The 21,528-nt window shown below is 40.4% G+C and overlaps 1 protein-coding gene across 3 annotated transcripts in view; it reads left to right on the forward strand.

Annotated features, from left to right (window-relative positions):
- The window catches only part of SH3GL2 (SH3 domain containing GRB2 like 2, endophilin A1), a 218,059-nt gene that overhangs the window by 166,543 nt on the left and 29,988 nt on the right, over positions 1-21,528 (forward strand). For all 3 annotated transcript variants that reach the window (NM_003026.5, XM_047423730.1, XM_011518005.4), the window contains exons 2-3: positions 1,458-1,526; positions 15,829-15,901. In NM_003026.5, the coding sequence (NP_003017.1) occupies positions 1,458-1,526; positions 15,829-15,901 (142 nt within the window). The remainder of the gene's footprint in view (positions 1-1,457; positions 1,527-15,828; positions 15,902-21,528) is intronic.

Below are 21,528 nucleotides of genomic sequence, written 5' to 3' on the forward strand. Positions count from 1 at the left end.
GTGGTCTCTTCTGAGTGTTTTCCCGATGGCAGGAAGTGGGAGTGAAGGACAGATAGAGGGGGTAAGCAACACAGCTCAGGTCCCCCAACAAGGAGATATCAGAGCATTCCTGGCCAGGAGATGGAGCAGGGTATCCAGGGGCCCTTTGGAATGAGGTAAACCAGGTTGTTGCTGAGCTTACTGTGGGTTGGTCATGGTAGGAATCTTCTTAAAGACCCTCAACCTAGCTGCTATTGAAGGAAATGAAAAACCATACTTTGATATCTGTGTGCGATAACTTTATGTAATACAGTGACAACTTAGGGAAAAGCATCTATCTTTACAATTAGGGTATTTTAAAGGGAATGAAAAGGTCTTCGTGCCATTAACATTTAGTATTTGTGTCTTTGATAAAACCAGAGTATCTTTTGTGTGATCCGTTTGTATTTAATTTGAATCATTATTTCAGAATATAAAAGTGTATCTAATTTTTTTATTTTATTTTTTGAGACAGAGTCTCGCTGTCGCCCAGGCTGGAGTGCAGTGGTGGGATCTCCGCTCACTGCAGGCTCCGCCCCGCTGTGTTCACACCATTCTCCTGCCTCAGCCTCCTGAGTAGCTGGGACTACAGGTGCCCGCCACCACGCCCAGCTAATTTTTTTGTATTTTTGGTAGAGACGGGGTTTCACCGTGTTAGCCAGGATGGTCTCAATCTCCTGACCTCGTGATCCACCCGCCTCGGCCTCCCAAAGTGCTGGGATTACAGGTGTGAGTCACTGCGCCCGGCCCTAATTTTTTATGAACATGAATTTTACATGTGGTTAGTGACTGTTTGCATTTGTTATTTGACAAACATAAAATGTATCATAATGGAAAATGATCAAGTAGCAAAGAAATGCCTTCAACAGCTTTCTATATGTTTTGGCTTATGTACTTAAGGATGTAGACAGCTTTATGAGACAGACTATACTATACAAGTACTTTTGTCTGAAGATTAGCTGGGCTGAGACTTTTTTTCTTTTCATAACAGTTTGATAGATGTTTGTGATTATCTGTTCAATAGCCCATTTAGGACTAGGTTGAAGAAGCAGCAGTTTTCTGCATAGGTAGCATTTGAGATCCATTATCAGAGGGAAATGATTATTGTATGATGCTGTTGTCCCTTAGAACTTTCAAGAGGAAAATGTTAGGATTAGGTAGTTATATAATGATTTGTTTGATAGAAGGAGCACTGAGGTTGAAATCAGAAGATACAAATTTGAATGCTTGCTTCTATACCCACCAGATGCATAGCCTTTAGTAAGTTTTTCAGACCCTCAGAGCCACAGTTTGCTGCTATAAAAATGAGACTCTCCACCTAAGTCAGGGAATGGTTGTGAGATTACATTAGATGACATTTGTGAAAGTGCTTAAAATTTCTAACACATTTTTTAAAGAAACTGTTTATAATAATTCTCCTTTGTGGTTATTTTCTACAGAAAGTGAGTGAGAAGGTTGGAGGAGCTGAAGGAACCAAGCTAGATGATGACTTCAAAGAGATGGAAAGGGTAAGCCTTCACTACTGCCTAGTGTTCCCTTTGACATAAACATGTCTACCATAATTAGAGGAGAAGAGAAAACGGGAGAGGGCAACTGTTTTCCACTGGTCTCTGAGAATACTACATTTTGTTATTTAAAACTACTTTTCATGTATGTTTTAAAACATAAAATGTAAAATATTCTGTCTTCCCTTTGTACTGTCCTGAGGACAAAACCTCAGTGAAGGTGAAAGGTCACGATGAACTTTTTCTGGTGGGTTTCATCATCATTTTAAAAAAATAAGGACAGTGTTGAGCTGATGTTTGAATTAGGGTGAGATGCGTAGAAAAGAAGCTGCAGAATGACATCCCAAATGTTTTTGGGAGAGTTTAAGTCACTTTCTGGCTTTAAGGACCTTCCTTACTGGATGATTGGCCAGAGGCAGCCATGTATAGTGGAGAGAATACAGTTTTAGAGCTTGTCCAACCTTGGCCCAAACTCCCCTTCCTGCCATGTGTCACAAAAGTCCATCTATTGATCAGAGCCTCTTTTTAAAATTTTATTATTATTATTGTTATTATTTTTTTGAGATGGAGTCTTGCTCTGTTGCCCAAGCTGGAGTGCAGTGGCATGATCTTGGCTCACTGCAACCTCCGTCTCCTGGGTTCAAGCGATCTCCTGCCTCAGCTCCCTGAGTATCTGGGATTACAGGCACGCACCACCACGTCTGGCTAATTATTGTATTTTTTGTAGAGATGGGGTTTTACCATGCTGGCCAGGCTGGTCTCGAACTCCTAACCTCAGGTGGTCCGCCTGCCTCAGCCTCCCAAAGTGCTGAGGTTCCAGGCATGAACCACTGCACCCAGCAGAGCCCCTTTTTAAGTGAATGTAAAATGAGAAGACTAATACTCATTTGGGGGATTTTAGTTAAGGCTTAAAAATAATGTAGATTATTTAGCTTTCTGCTTAAAAGGTAGGTTCTCAGCAAGTGAGGGTAGAAGTGATGAACAAAACATCTCATTTTATTTTTCTTGGGACATGAGCCATATTTTCGCTTTTACTTTTCTTTTACTTTAACGCTCTTCAGAACAGGTGATATTTAGGCTTATGATTAAAAGTGTGTGTTACATTGTGCACAGAAACATTTTAGGTCTTAAGTGGGTGGTGGGTAATGGATCTGAGAGTAGCAATCCTGTACTTGAACAGAAGAGGATGTTGCAAACTATGGTACCTAGAAACCACATTTAAACATTGTAAAGAATATTGCTTTTGTACTTCGTTGTAACAAAGCAATTTTTTAATATTCTGATTTTGATTCTACCAGAAGTTTTTTAGGGACTGGATATTGTTTTAGTCTACATCAGATCCAACAGGCTGCCTCAGTTTTGCTGTTTTTACTATGTTTGCATGAAGAGTCAAACAAAAAATTCCTAGGTATTCATTAGTGTAGTGTGAGAAATTAAAAAAAAAATCCTAGGTACTTTCTACCTTGTCTTTTTAGTTTTTCTCTTGGTGAGTTTATTGATGAATTCAATAAATATTTTCTTTGTGTCTTCCATGAACCAGGAGGTAGGATATAGACAAGGTTCCTGAGTGCATGAAGTTCGTAGTCTAGTGGGGAGGGCAAACTTGGGGCAAGTAATGACCAGCGTGGCGAGGAGGAAAACTAATGGAGCTACAGAAGCCCAGCACAGAGGAAACTCACCCATACTGCATTGTCAAGGAGAACCTTCCTGATAGTTAAGTGAAGATGGGAAAGAGTTAGCAGAGCCTGGTAAAGGAAACAGCATGCAAGCAGGCAAGAGGGAACGGTTGAGTTCCTGAAAAAAAAAGATAAGTTGCCAAGAGGCAGGGTCCTGTGAAATCAGACTGCATAGTATTGATCCAGCTGGTCATTCTGGCTAAGTTCTTGAGATAGACCTCACTGATGGATACCCAGTGGTGAGGAGATTTTATACTGGAATTCTGAGTCCCAGCCTTCAGAAGTCTGGAAAACCAGACTCTTACAGCTGAGGCCTGGCACCTACTTCCTCCAACTGGACCAAAGTCTGCATTGGTTCCTATTTCTCATCTCTGGATGGTTCTAAATACCACCTGATCCTCAACCAAAGCTGGTAGCCACTAATATCCATAGTTCTGGAAATAATATTTTACCCATTCATCTTCTACGGCATCTGAGACTCCAGGAACTGACACACATTTCCAGAAATGTCTTGTCTTTGACTCTTCTACTGCCCATAAAATTGGAGTTCCTCACGCTTCATTTGAACAGCCCATGGGTTAATCCGCCTCTGTCTTCACCCAGTCTTGCTTGATCCCTCCTTGTACTTTGATGCTCCTCCTTCCCCCTCACCCCTGGAGAGCATTTATAGTTTGCCACGTGGCCAATGTCATGTCATTAATGAAAGATTAGGCAGGTATTTAGGAATTTGGAACTAAGTACCAGGAATCAGAATTTGACACTTCCTTTTAGCATCTGCCAGGACTAAAGGGAATAAGCTAGGCAGCTCACTGTCTAAAGTGAGACAAGCTAACTTCCTGTTTCTTAAATGAGACTAAAAAGAACAGGAAATTTGGAGAACTGAGTAGAATTTATCACTGAGCAACTAATTAGACCTTTGGAGATTTATTTTGGTGAGAAATATATGCCAGTTTTGCAAAGTAATTGAAATAAAAGAGAATCCTCCAAGCATTTTACTTTAGGCAAATACCAACAGACCTTCCTCTGAGTATGAAAGTAAGGTATAAGGATTATTTCTCCTAATTTATAGAAATGTTTCTGAAACTTTTATTTCAAAATATAGATACTCCTGCAGCAAAGTAAACATCTGATTGACTGAAGAACACACTCATGGCTCTTTACTTGGGTTTATACCTGAATAAATTGAGAGATTTAGGTTTCAGTGCAGTGTGGCAATTGTTTTACTCTTTTTGATTCTGTATATCTTTTGTTTCTGTCTCTATTGCAAATTTTGCACCCTCCACTCATGCTAAATTTACATGAATAGTATAAGATTTCTGTGGTAATTGAAAAGCACTTGCTTTGGATTTAGACTCTCAAATCTTTTCTCGCCTGTTAATTGATTATTCACACAAATGTTTGAGCTCAGTGTTCCCAAGCAGACAGAAGAATTGCCTTTCCATAGTTTGTTTTCTGCTCGTCAGGCATTTGGGGTAGAGAGACCTTTGCTCATCTGTATTCTCGGAGGTGCAATTAGATAACAAAATGAAATAAATTAGAGGTTTGCTTCAAGCAGCATTACTGGGAGAGAGAAGTGGGTTTTCCTAGGGGTGTTTCTCTAATCAGCCGCCCCAGCCACTCTGTGGCTGAGATGCAGTAAAATCATCATGTGTGTCCCTTAGCTCTGCAGCCCTCCTCTCCCTGAGCTGATTGGATAGAATCCTGCGGCTGTGCTGTCTCTGTAGGATCCCTGCCCATCATTATTTCTCTCCTAAGTGCCTTGCATGGAATTCTTTTTGTTTTCATTTTAAATGCTGTCTGTTGCTTACAAGCTTTGTTAAACACAGGCTAAATGTCTTACTCTGGTGCAACATTGGAGGATTTGTTCTTTGAAAAGCTATAGGATTTTTTGTTAAGAGGAAGTTCGGAAATTTGAAGAACCTCTGGTTCCTTCTCAAATTTTCCTCAGTTGCTGCAATGATTGTGTAGTTTTTTGTTGTGTGTACAGTTACATTCATTAATTTACTTGGAAAGTGCCTCCATGTTAAGGCAGTATCCCTGCCTTCAAGGGGCTTCCAGTTTTGATTTTTAAAAAATTGTACGTAAATCAGTACCTTACAGAACATAGTGCTTGGTGTCCTGGGGAGGTTTCCCATGGAATATTCAGGCTGGGTACATCAGGCTTCCTAGAAGAGAGAGGGCGTCTGAGCTAAATCCTGAACATGTCTCTTGTCCCTGATTATGTGGTTAATTCAGAATTCTAAGCTGAGGAATATAGTATCTGTTTTGCAGCCTGAAAATTATTGTGGGAAATCCCTTCTGTTGAACCCAGAAGATGTCCTAGGGATAGAAACATGTCTATAGGCCCTTTAATAAAAATGGGATTCTTTTTAAGGAGCAACTTTGAGTTTTAAGAAGAGCAAGTTGTTGAGAAAGAATGCCATTTCATATGAGAGTAAGAGAGGATTATTGGCAGATTCAGGTGTGGAGAAAGTCCAATAGGAAAATGTCCATGGTCATTATCTTCATACACTCAGTCACTGGGTGGAGAGGGGTTCAATTTTTCTATCCAGCCCAAGTGGTAGAGCTAGAATTAATGAGTAGAAACCATGGGGAGATAGATTCTGGCTCAATATAAGAAAAACTTTTGGCTATCAAAGCTGGGTTTTTGGTGTGTGTGTTTTTGTGTGTGCGTGTGTGTGTGTGTGTGTGTGTGTGTGTGTTTTGCCTCAGCAATGACTGAATTCCCTATCACTGCCCATGTTTGACCCCCTTGTTCCCACCGCCCATGTTGGAACACACACTGACCTGCTAGTTCCCTCCCATCATGTGAGGCACACCAGTCATCTCTTGTGAGTTTTGTGGTTAGTAATTTGTTACTAATAATGTCACTTTTTAATGATGTCACTCTTACTTGGATTCCAGTGATCTCTCTCAAATGGGGAGAGAAAGGAGTAGAGTTTCAGCTGGAATGCTCTGAGCAACACGTATCCCTGAGTGCACCCATAATGTCTCCTTCATGGTGTGATGGGAAAGGAGGAGGCGTGGAGCATTGTGCTAAGACACACCCCCCCGGTGTGGGGATGTAAGAAGGGCCAGAGCTCCAAACAAGATGAGCTTTGAAGACATCTTTTTCCTTAGTCTGAAATTCAGTGATGACAAGCTTCCTCTGAGTTACATGTTTGCAATATATAGTTCCAAGCTTATATTCATTAAAGGTAATGACCAAGAAGATTAACAGCAAAAAAAATACATTGGAGCAATCACAGCATTCTAATAACCTTGTTTATTTTTGTTTTTTAACACGTTGTTTGTCAGTTGGGCTTTCTGAAAACATAAGATAATGCTTTAAATCAAAGCAGCTTGGGGACAGATGGATTAACTCTTCTGAGTCAGCAGGGGACTATTAAAAACATCACTCTTGGACCTGCCTGTATCTCGCTGCCAGACAGACCTTCCCAGGACACGGTTTTCATCATGTCTCTGTGATTGTTTATTGAGCTGTTCTTGTTCAGGAGTCTCAGTACTTTAAGTGGGTGTGTATGCATTATTAATAGTTGTAGTTTCTTAACTTCAGTGACAGAAAAGTTAAGAATTTGAAAATATTTTAGTTTTTCATATGCCTTTTTAATATTTCTTTTATGTTACCACTGTGAGTTACCCATTTTCAAGTGGGTGTGTAATTCATCTACTTATTTATCTAATTTATTTATTTACTTACTTATGTGGAGATTGAGGTCTCACTCTATTGTCCAGGCTGGAGTGTAGTAGCTCAGTCATAGCTCACTATCACCTCAAACTTCTGGGCTCAAGTGATTCTCCTGCCTCAGCCTCTCAAGTAGCTAGGACTACCAGCACACACCACCATGCCTGCCTAATTTTTATTATTTATTTGATATTTGAGGTCCAATTTCTTTCTTTTTTTAAACTTGTATCTTAACTTCAGGGGTACACGTGCACGTTTGTTACATAGGTAGACACGTGTCATGGGAGTTTATTGTACAGATGATTTTATCACCCAGGTATTAAGCCTAGTACTCATTAGTTATTTTTCCCGATTGTCTCCCTCCTCCCACCCTCCACCCTCCAATAGGTCCCAGTGTGTGTTGTTCCCCTCTGTGCGTTCTTGTGTTCTCATCATTTTTGTCCCACTTATAAGTGAGAACATGTGGTATTTGGTTGTCTCTTCCTGCATTAGTTTGCTAAAGATAATGGCCTCCAGGTTCATCCATGTCCCTGCAAAGAACCTGCTCTCTCTCTTTTATGGCTGCATAGTATTCCATGGTGTATACGTAGCACATTTTCTTTATCCAGTCTCTCACTGATGGGCATTTGGGTTGATTCCATGTCTTTGCTATTACGAATAGTGCTGCAGTGAACACATGTGTGCATGTGTCTTTATAATAGAACAATTTATATTCCTTTGGGTGTATATCCACTAATGGGATTGCTGGGTCAAATGGTATTTCTGTCTTTAGGATTTTGAGGAATCACCACACTATCTTCCACAATGGTTGAACTAATTTACACTCCTACCAACAGTGTATAAGCATTCCTTTTTCTCCACAACCTTGTCAGCATCTGTTGTTTTTTGACTTTTTATCTCATTGTGGTTTTGATTTGTGTTTCTGTAATGATCAGTGATGTTGAGTGTTTTCTCATATGTTTCTTGGCCACATAAATGTCTTCTTTTGAAAAGTATTCATGTCCTTTGTCCACTTTTTAATGGGGTTGTTTGCTTTTTTTCTTGTAAATTTCTTTAAGTTCCTTATAGATGCTGGATATTAGACCTTTGTTGGATACATAGCTTGCAAAAATTTTCTCTCATTCTATAGCTTGTCTTTTTACTCCGTTGGTAGTTTCTTTTGCTGTGCAAAAACTCTTTGGTATAATTAGATCCCATTTGTTAATTTTCGCCTTGGTTGCAATTGCTTTTGGTGTCTTCCTCATGAAATTTTTGCCCATGCCTATGTCCTCAATGGTATTTTGCCTAGGTTGTCTTTCAGGGTTTTTATGATTCGGAGTTTATACATTTAAGTCTTTAATCCATCTTGAGTTAATTTTTGTATATGGTGTAAGGAAGGGGTCCAGTTTCAATCTTCTGCATATGGCTAGCCAGTTATCCTAGCACCATTTATTGAATAGGGAATCTTTTCCCCATTGTTTGATTTTTGTCAGATTTGTCAAAGACCAGATAACTGTAGGTGTGCAGTTTTATTTCTGAGATCTCTATTCTATTCTGTTGGTTTATGTGTCTGTTTTTGTACCAGTACCATGCTGTTTTGGTTATTGTAGCCCTGTAGTATAGTTTGAAGTTGGATAGCATGATGACTCCAGCTTCGTTCTTTTTGCATAGGATTGCCTTGGCTATTCAGGCTCTTTTCTGTTTCCATATGAATTTTAAAGTACTTTTTCCTAGTTCTGCTAAGAATCTTAATGGTAGTCTAATAGGAATAGCATTGAATTCATAAACTGCTTTGAGCAGTATGGCCATTTTGATGATATTGAGTCTTCCTATCCATGAGCATGGAACGTTTTTCCATTTGTTTGTATCATCTCTGATTTCTTTCAGCAGTGTTTGTAGTTCTTCTTGTAAAGAACTTTTGGCCGGGTGCAGTGACTCACGCCTGTAATCCCAGCACTTTGGGAGGCTGAGGTGGGCAGATCATGAGGTCAGGAGATCGAGACCATCCTGGCTAACATGGTGAAACCCTGACTCTACTAAATATACAAAAAATTAGCTGGGTATGGTGGCAGGCGCCTGTAGTCCCAGCTACTCGGGAGGCTGAGGCAGGAGAATGGCTTGAACCCAGGAGGTGGAGCTTGCAGTGAGCCGAGATCACGCCACTGTACTCCAGCCTGGGCGGCAGAGTGAGACTCTGTCTCAAAAAAATAAAATAAATAAATAACTTTCACCTCCCTGGTTAGCTGTATTCCTAGGTATTTTATTATTTTTGTGGCAATTGTGAAGGAGATTGTTCCTGAGTTGGCTCTTGGCTTGACTGTTCTTGGTGTATAGGAATGCTAGTGATTTTTGAACATTGATTTTGTATCCTGAGACTTTGCTGACATTCTTTATCAGCTTAAGAATCTTTTTGGCTGAGACTGTGGGGTTTTCTGGACATAGGATCATGCCGTCTGCAAACATGGATAGCTTGACTTCCTCTCTTCCTACTTGGATGTGCTTTATTTCTTTCTCTTGCCTAATTGGCCTGGTCAGGACTTCCAATACTATGTTAAATAGGAGGGGTGAGAGAGGGCATCCTTGTCTTGTGCCGGTTTTCAGGGGAAATGCTTCCAGCTTTTGCCCATTCAGTATGATGTTGGATATGGGTTTGTCATATATGGCACTTATTGTTTTGAGGTGCATTCCCTTAATACCTAGCTCATTGGGACTTTATAACATGAATGAATGTTGAATTTTATTGAAAACCTTTTGTACATCTATTGAGATAATCATGTGTTTTTCTTCTTTAGTTCTGTTTATGTGATGAATCATATTTATTGATTTGCATATGTTGAACCAACCTTGCATCCCAGGGATAAAGCCTACTTGATAATGGTGGATAAGCTTTTTGACATGCCTCTGGATTTGGTTTGCCAGCATTGTATTGAGGATTTGCATCAGTGTTCATCAAGGACCTTGGCCTGAAGTTTTCTTTTTTGTTGTATCTTTGTGGCTAATTTTAAAATCTTTTGTATAGATGGGGTCTCACTTTTTCCCAGGCTAGTCTTGAACTCCTGGCCTTAAGCAATCCTCCTATCTTGGCCTCCCAAAGCACTGGGGTAACAGACATGGGCCACCATGACTGACTGAATTTATTTATATATTAATGATCACTAAACTCACAAAGTGTTGGTGCTCCCTTTAAGGTGTCTATGTTTTTCTTAAACTTTTGCTCTGCTACAGCATCTGGTATAATGTGGTATCTAATAGTATGAAATCATATCTTTCAGTCCTTTTGTTGCTCCACAAACAACGCCACGCTGTTCACGAGTCCTTACACCTAAGTTCAGGAAATACCAACTTTTCTTCAGGGAAGAAAGGTAATATTCCCATGTCTCTGGAAGAGTAACCCCATTCTAGTCATTTCCATGCCTTCTATTCTTTAGTATCTTGTCTCTAAAGACTGAGACAGCTGGTGAAATAATCAGTATCATCTATAGATTCAGCATGGCATTATTATTAGTGAAGCTAGCACCTAGCACAGGAATCAAGATTTTTTTGTAAGTGCTTTAGGTTTTTGGGGCCAGAGGGTCTCTGTGGTCTCTTACAACTCCTTGCCAATGCTGTCAAAACACAAAAGCGTCCATTGACAGCGTTTAAATGAATAAGTATGGCTGTTTTCCAACAAAACTTTATCTAAGGATGCTGAAATGTGAATTTGAAATTTGAATAATTATTTTGTGCAGTAAAATAGTAGTCTCATTTCAAATTTTTTCAACCATTTAAAGAAGTAGAAATGGAAGTTTTTATTACCTAAAAAACATGCCTGTATCTGTATATATTTACAGTTTCACTTTCTTTTTTTTATTTTTATTTTTTATTATACTTTAAGTTCTAGAGTATGTGTACATGTGCACAGCTTGCAGGTTTGTTACATATGTATACATGTGCCATGTTGGTGTGCTGCACCCATTAACTCGTCATTTACATTAGGTATATCTCCTAATGCTATCCCTCCCCCCTCCCCCCACCCCACGGCAGGCCCCCATGTGTGATGTTCCCCTTCCTGTGTCCAAGTGTTCTCATTGTTCATTTCCCACCTATGAGTGAGAACTTGCGGTGTTTGGTTTTTTGTCCTTGCAATAGTTTGCTGAGAATGATGGTTTCCAGCTTCATCCACGTCCCTACAAAGGACATGAACTCATCATTTTTTATGGCTGCATAGTATTCCATGGTGTATATGTGCCACAGTTTCTTAATCCAGTCTATCATTGATGGACATTTGGGTTGGTTCCAAGTCTTTGCTGTTGTGAATAGTGCCGCAATAAACATACGTGTGCATGTGTCTTTATAGCAGCATGATTTATAATCCTTTGGGTATATACCCAGTAATGGGATGGCTGGGTCAAATGGTATTTCTAGTTCTAGATCCCTGAGGAATTGCCACACTGTCTTCCACAATGGTTGAACCAGTTTACATTCCCACCAACAGTGTAAAAGTGTTCCTATTTCTCCACATCCTCTCCAGCACCTGTTGTTTCCTGACTTTTTAATGATTACCATTCTAACTGGTGTGAGATGGTATCTCATTGTGGTTTTCATTTGCATTTCTCTGATGGCCAGTGATGATGAGCATTTTTCCATATGTCTGTTGGCTGCATAAATGTCTTCTTTTGAGAAGTGTCTGTTCCTATCCTTTGCCCCCTTTTTGAAGACTTAAATGTTAGACCTAAGACCATAAAAACCCTAGAAGAAAACCTAGACAATACCATTCAGGACATAGGCATGGGCAAGGCATTAGACTTCATGTCTAAAACACCAAAAGCAATGGCAACAAAAGCCAAAATTGACAAATGGGATCTAATTAAACTAAAGAGCTTCTGCACAGCAAAAGAAACTACCATCAGAGTGAACAGGCAACCTACAGAATGGGAGAAAATTTTTGCAATCTATTCATCTGACAAAGAGCTAATATCCAGAATCTACAAAGAACTCAAACAAATTTACAAGAAAAAAACAACCCCATCAAAAAGTGGGCGAAGGATATGAACAGTTTCACTTTCTTTAAACAGCCTTCCCTAATGGCTCCTCACACCAATCCCAGGCAAGGTTAGTTGAAGACGGAGGCTCAGGAGCTTATAAGATGAGAAATTCTTGTAATTTAGGATGCATCAAAACTTACTTTCAAATAGTAATTGGAAATTTTGGACATTGAGAAAAATAACAGTTACATGTCATAAGTTCAAAGTTAAACTGTACTGTTCTCAAATGGCAATAAGCTCAATTCTGGGAGCTTATGGGAATTGCTAGTTATAATAAGTTACTTAAGTGGAAATCTTCTTTATGCTAAGTTAATCAGGCCTGTTACTAAGAGAATATGTACTTGGATATTACCAGCTTAGGTATATAAATAACTCTTCTGCCAAGTGCATAACAAGGCACATTCAGGGGTCTCATGGGGTTATGGCCCTCAGCTTGTCTCTGGCTGACACAGTGTAGTTTAGCAAAAGAGTCCTGGGCATTATTATGGAGGACCGAGGTGGAGAGAAGTTAGAAATTAGTCAGCCTCCTACTGGCAGATGACTTCAGAATGTGACTAATCATTGGACCATTCAGTTCTTCTGGTACTTTTTTAAAGAAAGCCTCTGATTAATGGCCTTGGGAACTACTTTTCTCCTCATAACACACTTAAAGAGCTCCTTTCCCTTCTCTAGGCCACAGGTGTGGACATTTAATAAATTAAAGCGTTAAACAGAATGCTCCCCTGGTCTCTTCCTCTTATGTCCATGAAGTCTATCAAGTAATTATCTGTAAGAATGCAGCCATGCCTGGTGCAGTGACTCATGCCTGTAATCCCAGCACTTTGGAAGGCCAAGGCGGATGGATCACTTGAGGCCAGGAGTTCGAGACCAGCCTGACCAACATGGCAAAACCCCGTCTCTACCAAAAAATACAAAAATTAGCCAGGCATGGTGGTGCGTGCCTCTAGTCCCAGCTTCTTGGGAAGCTGGGGAGGGAGAATCGCTTGAACCTGGGAGGAGGAGGTTGCGGTGAGCTGAGATTGCTCTACTGCACTCCAGCCTGGGGGAGAGAGTAAGACCCTGTCTCAAAAAAAAAAAAAAAAAAAAAAAAAAAAAAAAAATTGCAGTCAGTAGCAAGGGCCTAGGAATGGATTTGCCAAAAGTGGGTCCCTCTTTAGTATAATTCCTGATAATGAAATAAAAATGTAACTGTATTGAATAAAGTTGTTTTCAGAGGTGGTGGATTTCAAGCGAAGGTTATTTTATGTTGTAGTCAAAAGGGTTTAGGTAGAACTTGCTCTGTAATGATGCCTGGACTAGGTAACCAAAAGTGTTGAAGGAGTCTGCCTCAATGGGCACAAAGTCGGTAAACATCTGGGTGGGATGAGCTCTTTCTTTAGACAAGTCACAAGGGACACTGGAATAGTTTTTATTCCTACTTCTCTTTTAAGATGGAGTCCTGCCCTGGGGACCAAATGTAATAATCTAATATTGGTATCCCCAGGGTCTCTGGGTCTTCCCTGAGACCACTGGCTTCAGCCAAGCTAGTGGTGTCTGTTTACACTACATGAGTGGTTGGGCTCCCTACACAGAGCTTAAAAGGGAAGGGGGTTCTGTAGCCAAAATGAGAAACTAGCTTTCACAGCCTTCCTTGCTCACCTCCCTGTGGGCCAGGTGGGATAGACACTGCAGGTACCAGTCTCTGTAGGGAAACCCGTGAAACTGAGGGCCTGTGGTTCAGCAGATCAGCATTGCAGAGCCTCCCTTCCAGAGAGGCCCAGGATGGAATAGTCTTGTGGATGAAGCTTCCACAGACTTTGAGAAGTTTCAAAATAAAAACAGAATATGGGATGGCAGGTACCTTCCTGCTGATGCTGTTTCACCGGCTACTGCCAGGTCCCCAGCCCCATCTTAGGGAGGGAACAAAGCATATTCCAGCTCTGACTTGGCCTCTCTTTCAGATTGGGAGATGCCTCTGTTGCCTGTCTTTTTAGGAAGAGCTTTTGCTTTCAAGAAGTATAGGATGGTCATTAAGAACACACACACTGGAACTAGAACTGGGGAAGTTTCTTAACCCCTCTGTATCTGTTTTCTCATATACATTACAGAGTTTGTGAGCATTGAGTGTGTAAAGATATTTATAGTCCTTAGAACAGTTTCTGACAAACAGAAGACAGCTTATGGTGATGATTGTTATAATTATTAAGGACAGAGATGGGGGAACCTTAGAAATTGGTCAGCCCCTTAACAGCAGATGACATCAGGATATCAAACAGCCATTGGAAAATTTAATTCCTATGGCACTCTTTTTTAGAAACCTTGGCTTTTTGAATGATTTTCCTTCTCATCATAACTACAGGATATTTAGACACATTTGTCATCTAATTCCTTAATTCCCATCACATAGGCAGCAGGAGATCTACATTTGTACTTCTATCACACATGTACCATGGAGTTTCAGCATATTTGTTCCATACACACCTTTGATCCATTTCCCTGGCATAAGACATTCTATGACTTGAGTACATAGTGGTTGTTTGGAATTTTGCTAATACTAGGACCTTCACATATGGCTTCACAAGTTGTGTACTGCACAACTCCAGGGGGCTACTGAGCATTTTTAAGCTAATCACTACCTGGTACACACTCAATCTTAAAGATCTTTGAAATTTGAATCAATCAAAAGGATATTTATACAAGATTTATATGTAGACAGGCACATTTGAAATTGCATCCTTCTAAAGATAATTTTATATCATTATAACTTCACAAGAAAAAATTTGTTTTCCTCTGTTGATCCTAGTAATAGCAAACACACACAGTAATATGACTGCCATGGAATGAAAAATTATTAAGTATTGAAAAACTGAACTGAAAGATAAAATCTTTTAATGTGTGGATTATGGAAAAGGAGGAGGCTTACTTTATGCAAGGCTGATATTATATACCGGTATATATTATATACCGGTATATATTGGTATATACTGATATTATACTGGTATATACTGATATTATATACTGGTATATATTATATACCACTAGGTACAGCAGGTTATGGAAAAGTTTCTCATAGTTGAAGGGGGAGCCTTTTAACAAACAGAAAATTTCTCCAGTGGACTTAATTGATACCTAAATTTCTACATTAAAATTTAATCACTTTCATTTATACCTATGTCATATATTACATGTACATACCTTGAATAGGAGGATGCATTTATTCTCATTAGTCATTTACCATGTAGGGCGAATAGGAGGCCCACAGATGCTGATAAGAAAAGGATTTCTTGGAGAAAGACAGAGAGCACTGCAGTGAGCACCTTCCATGACCTCTTTCAAGTGGGGAGAGGGGCCTGACAAAGAGAACACGGTGAGATGCTGAAGGCAAACACTGACCATTCCAAATTTAGAAATTTAGAGGATAGAACAAATTTGGAGGATAGACTCTAGCATCAAGATTTTTGTTTAGCATTAACCAAAAGTTCAAGGACAGACTAGAAGTCTTTGCTCAAGATTTTATATTTTTAGGATGTTCTTAGAAGTTAAATAAAAAGCTCCCCACTTCTTGAATAAGCAGAGTTGATGCTGCATGATTCTTTCTTGAGGGCAGCAAAATCTGCCTCCATGCCTGACCCACTGTAGGCATCCAATAAATGCCTCTGGGACAAAATATGTTTCATTTTATTCACCTTATTTTCACCAGAAGGTAATGAATTATATTTTGAAACAAATTTTAGGAAACTACAAGCTTCTTCTTTGGATAAACGGGCTTTCCACATCTTGGCAGACCACTGCTGAGTACAGTGTCAGCATGACTTCCAGCCGCGTCTCAGCCTCCCTCACCTACTGCGGGACTTGTCCGGGGCTCTGTTGCATACCCCGCCATTGTATACAGACTCAACCAAAAACCGGTATTCTAAAGCTCATCATTTTTGTCATTTAGAGCACTTATTTTCTCATTTCAGAAAGTGGATGTCACCAGCAGGGCTGTGATGGAAATAATGACTAAAACAATTGAATACCTTCAACCCAATCCAGGTAAGGCATCATCTTATATGTTTAAAGGATCCCTCGAGGTAACTTTTAGTTTCTCTTTGATAGACATTTTAAGTTTGGTGTGTTTCTTCTTTTGGTGTTGCTTCCTCGGTCCACTTTTCTGAGAGGTTAGCGACTTCATGGATAGCACATTTTAACTGGGGAGAAGGGCTTTTTAAAGCTCACATTGAAGTAACTGGAAGATCTGTGGTATTTTATCTGACTGTGGTATATTTAACAAATAATGTATGCAAACAGTTCAGGTGACACATAATATCAGAGTAGCTATAAACTGTTATCAGTTTGAACTTTCAAGAGATGGTAAGAAGGAAAATTAGGATAGTTTAAGGTAAGATATAATGATTCCCAGAAGATGTGAAAAAGTAGGGAGGTGAATCGTTTTCATGAAACACAGAGGGTTTCTTCATAGGGCATCACCAAAGTCTTCAGAGCGTTGATCTTGATTCTGATTCTTCTCCAAGCACATCACAGATCAGCATTGGTTCCTGCTAACTTGTTATACTCTAAGAAAAAGAAGTGGTAATAGAGATAACGGAGCTATATGTTGATAAGAGGACCAGGCAGAGTTGGGGCAGTTTCGGTAGGCACTAGGTATAGCAAAGCAAAGCAAAGCAAAGCAGCCTACCTGATAGACCTCCTCATTACCATTCCTGTGTGTCAGTTTCTAACCACAGGGCACGGAAACGGGAAGTGAGGCTGGTTGTATTTAAGTGAGATGTGTGAATATTTGGAATACCCCTTAATCTTGAGGCTAGTTTCTTTGCAAGTTTCAGGTTGGGGTTCCGTGTATTTTATGGTCCTAGAGAGGATGGTGCAGACAACTGCTTCAGCCCCAATGAGTTTGGATACTGAGCAATAGTGGACAAGTGATCAAAAAAAAAAAAAAAAGGGGGCGGGTGTGGGCTGAGAGGAAGCAGGTGTGTGCTGTACTAAGTGCTGGCTCCTTTTCTATGCCCCCTGCTGCTGGCTGCAGCTTCCTTCCATCCTTATTCACCTATGACCAGCCCAGCTGCTATTCTGAGGATGAGCAGACTATGTAGGAATAACTTTCTGGATATTTGTTGCTGTTGTTTTTGTTCATAAAACACATTAGAAATGAGCTTATGTGAGGGAGGAAAATATGGAAGAAAATGTGATAAGCTATAGGAACCAGGAATTTAACTGACAGTGGTCTAGATACATTTTCAAATGCTTAGCAAATTTGTCAAAGCACTGCAAAAATCAGGTTTCTTATTTTTACCCAGAACCTTCTTGGTAACCACTGTTTTTCACAGAGATGCAAAGATCTCTTGGATGCACATTTATTCCTTACTGTTTAAACCACTGTCATAGGTCAAGTTCTGAAAGAGAACTGCTCGCCCTGCTTCCCCGCAAGAAATCATTATATAGGGGCAAGAAGTTTTGGTCTTTATCTTTGCCTAGAACCTTGAAGTACTCCATGATTTCCTGGGATTTTCACGAGTTGTACTTGTAACTCATGGTTGTAGGGCTAAGAGAAAGGCAGTGGGAGGAGGAATATAGTATTTATTGAGCACTGATGCATTTTCAGTGCAGTGCTAGGTATATGAGGCATTGTCTCATCTTTAAAAGTAACCATTTTTCTCCATATAAAGTAAAAACAGTTGAAGAATTTCTAGTATGAAAATAGACTAAAAATTCATTGTAACACAAATTATCAGTGGGAGCTCATCAGTTTTCCTGAGTATAATGGAACTGTGCTCTGTTGTAGGTAGGTGTGGTGGGTTGCATTGTGTGTCTCCCCAAATTCAGGTCCATCCAGAACTAAACTTATAAGGAATGTGACCTTATGTGGAAATAATCCTTGCAGATGTAAGTAGTGATGTAGGATCTTGAGATGAACTCTTCCTAGATTTAGGGTGGCCCCTAGAACCAGTGATGGGTGTCCTTATGAGAAGAGGAGAGGACACAGAGAAACACAGGAAAGAAGGCCACGTGAAGAATGAGAAGAGGTTGAAGTTACACGTCACGAGCAAAGGAATGCCAGGAGCCACCACCACAAGCTGGAAGACATGAGGAAGGATTCTCTCAGAGCCTCCAGAGGGAACCAACTTTGCCGACACCTTGATTTCAGACTTCCGGTATGCTGAACTGTGAGGGAATCAATTCTTTTCTTTGAGGCTGCCCAGTTTGTGGTCATTTGAAATGACAGCTCTAGAAAACTAATCCAGTACGCTAGCCTCATTTTATTCAGGAAAAAACAAGGGTCAGAGAATTTAAGGAACTTTCCCATTCATACACCTAGGAAGGGATGAAGACAAGATTGGAACTCAGGTCTGACTACCTCCTAAGTCTCTGCACTTCACGTTGCACGATCCTGCCTCTGAGAAGGGTAGGCTCCATTTCATTTAGGTGTGAAGGGTCCTTCCCTTTCAGAGAGTACCAGAGAAATTCAGAAAGGAAATTGTGGGATTAAGGCTTATTTTTATTTTAATAAAAAACATCAAAGGAGGAGGTAATTGAGAAGATCTGAATGTTTAGAAATGACATTTTTAATACAATATTGCATGTGCTAATTGGCTGCCAATATAATGGTTTTGTGACTATTTGAGAGTTGAATGGACATCTGCCACTAAGAACAATGAAGGCCATTACAGGCAATTCGAGGTTGGTTTCAGAAAAACAGTTATGTATGGGCAGGCCACATACATATATGAGTAAGTACTACCCAGAAGAGTCCAGAACAAAACGAAAATTTTGTGTAATCATTCCACAGAATTTAAACAACCTGCATTTAATTGTTTACAACAGGTACAATTTCATCCCTCCACCAGCTTCTTGCCCTGAGAGTAGACACTGGCCATAGAGCCCAGACCAGGTAACTGGTAAAGTTGAGAGTTAGGCAGACACCCAGAGAGACAGTCCTTGGGCACAGGAGAGCACAAAGAATGTTCCCAAACTCGTGCAGTTTGCTAAATACTTTGCCCACTCAGCCTTTCAGTGAACCCTAGAGCTGGGCCAACCAGTGTGGATACTGAATGCTGGTTCTGAATAAGCAAGATATGGCCTGGGTTAGGACAGGGCCTGATGCCAAGTAACACATTTACATGGACAGGCCAGGGGAATCAGTAGGATTTGATGCTTCGAGGGTACTTTGGGAGTACATCTGTATTAGATTACTGCTCCCGGGTGCTTGCTGGCTTTCACATCTTGGGTACATGGACAGGCCAGGGGAATCAGTAGGATTTGATGCTTCGAGGGTACTTTGGGAGTACATCTGTATTAGATTACTGCTCCCGGGTGCTTGCTGGCTTTCACATCTTGGGTACATGGACAGGCCAGGGCAATCAGTAAGATTTGATGCTTCAAGGGTACTTTGGGAGTACATCTGTATTAGATTACTGCTCCCGGGTGCTTGCTGGCTTTCACGTCTTGGGTACATGGACAGGCCAGGGGAATCAGTAGGATTTGATGCTTCGAGGGTACTTTGGGAGTACATCTGTATTAGATTACTGCTCCCGGGTGCTTGCTGGCTTTCACATCTTGGGTACATGGACAGGCCAGGGCAATCAGTAGGATTTGATGCTTCGAGGGTACTTTGGGAGTACATCTGTATTAGATTACTGCTCCCGGGTGCTTGCTGGCTTTCACATCTTGGGTACATGGACAGGCCAGGGCAATCAGTAGGATTTGATGCTTCGAGGGTACTTTGGGAGTACATCTGTATTAGATTACTGCTCCCGGGTGCTTGCTGGCTTTCACATCTTGGGTTCATGGACAGGCCAGGGGAATCAGTAGGATTTGATGCTTCGAGGGTACTTTGGGAGTACATCTGTATTAGATTACTGCTCCTGGGTGCTTGCTGGCTTTCACGTCTTGGGGGTGTGGAGCTTACACATGTTTTCTATTCTTAAAACTCAGTTCCTATTGAAGTGATGACCAAAGTGATTTTGTTTAGCTTTTAAGAATACATGGCTATGCTCTGTGAAGGTCCTACATCCACTCTTGCCCATCTCCAGAATGATATTTTAAAAAGCAAATTTGGTCATATTATGTAAAACCCTTCCATGGCTTTTCATGCCTTTAGGATTAACTTTCATTTTTAACATGGCTTAAGGGGCCCTCCCTGCATGGTCAGCCTGCCCTTTCCCCAACACCTTGCTAGGCTAACAGCTCCCTCGGGTCCAGCGTAAAGGTCACTTATTAGCCTTCCTTGGCTCCAACCACATTAGGTTCCCCTGTCACTGTCCCTCTTGTAATCCCAGCTGCTTTTCAGTGGGGCACATGCCATACTTGTGGTTTTGTTTTTCATCCGCCATGAGTTCAGCACTGTGCCTGTCTTATTCACCACCACATCCCCAGCCCCCAGCTCAGTTCCAGGCAGCCAACAGGCACTGGGATATTGGAATAAATGAATTATGAAGCACAGTTGACTGTCAGTGTCTAATGTACTAAAACTTCTCTAATACAAAAAGTAGGAGGAAAAATTCTTCCTTTTCCCTAAATCATCAGATACTCATATGTAACCAACATTTGTCACATGCATTTACTTTTATGCAAAGAGCAATTCTAGATGCTGTGGGGCAGAAATGAGACCAAGACTGGAGGCTTGTCCTCTGGAACCTCACAGTCTTAGTGTAAGTTACACACAGTCTGAGGAGAGGAGCCCAGAAGGCTTCACAGCTAATTCCTCCTGGAAAATCCAGCTAACTGATGAGATGTGGAAGTGTGAGCGGGATCACAGGCTTAAACGTCTGCCCTGTGAGGGTGGGCTTTCGAGAACGCAGGACAGACAGCTGTAAAGTCATCCAAGCTTGAACTGCAATAGCATGAACCAGTACACATTCCTAAAATGCTTAAATAAGATATAATTTGAATATAGAAAGTACTGTGCACAAATTCCATTCTACTGGTTGTAAGTGCCTATTCTTACGATATTTGTGAGCAAAAATCACTGAAGAAGATATAACTCAGTTTTCTTTACATATTCTGATGCCTTACGGGGGAGCAAAAACTGAATCGATGTTGTCCAATAGAAATAGGATGCAAGCCACATATGTAATTTTGAATTTTCTAGAAACCACATTATACAAGTAAAGAGAAAGATGAAATTGTCTTTAATAATATATTTTATTTAACCCATTATAGCCAAAATATTAACCACTATTAAAAATTATTGAGATATTCTATGTTTTTTTTCATACTCTGGATTTCGGTCTGTATTTTATACTTACAGCACATTTCAATTTGGACTAGCCACATTTCAGGTGCTCAGCAGCCCGCTGTGGCCAGTGGTGCCCGTAATAGACGGTACAGCACTAGATAGTTTGCCTTTCTGTTCGATATATGTTTCATGTTTACCTCCTTGGTTTTATGTTTTATCAGTGGGTTTTTCTTTTCAATAGAGAAATGGATTCTTGATTTAGAATTAGGATATATTTAGGCTCTGGATTTTTTAAAAAAAATTCTGAAAGTCTGTTTCATGACACTTGAATGGAATTGTAGACAGTTGGACTGTGGACCTTTTCCAGACTTAGCATCCTTGTTATGAGAGAGGCCTTTTCAGTTTGCACTGAGAAGTTACTCTTACCCTGATGTGATAATCTAATACAAATTTCCAAACTGCTTACATAAAAAGCAGCTTGAATGTG

The sequence above is a fragment of the Homo sapiens genome, chromosome 9 (assembly GCF_000001405.40).
Source record: "Homo sapiens chromosome 9, GRCh38.p14 Primary Assembly".
NCBI lineage: Eukaryota > Metazoa > Chordata > Mammalia > Primates > Hominidae > Homo > Homo sapiens.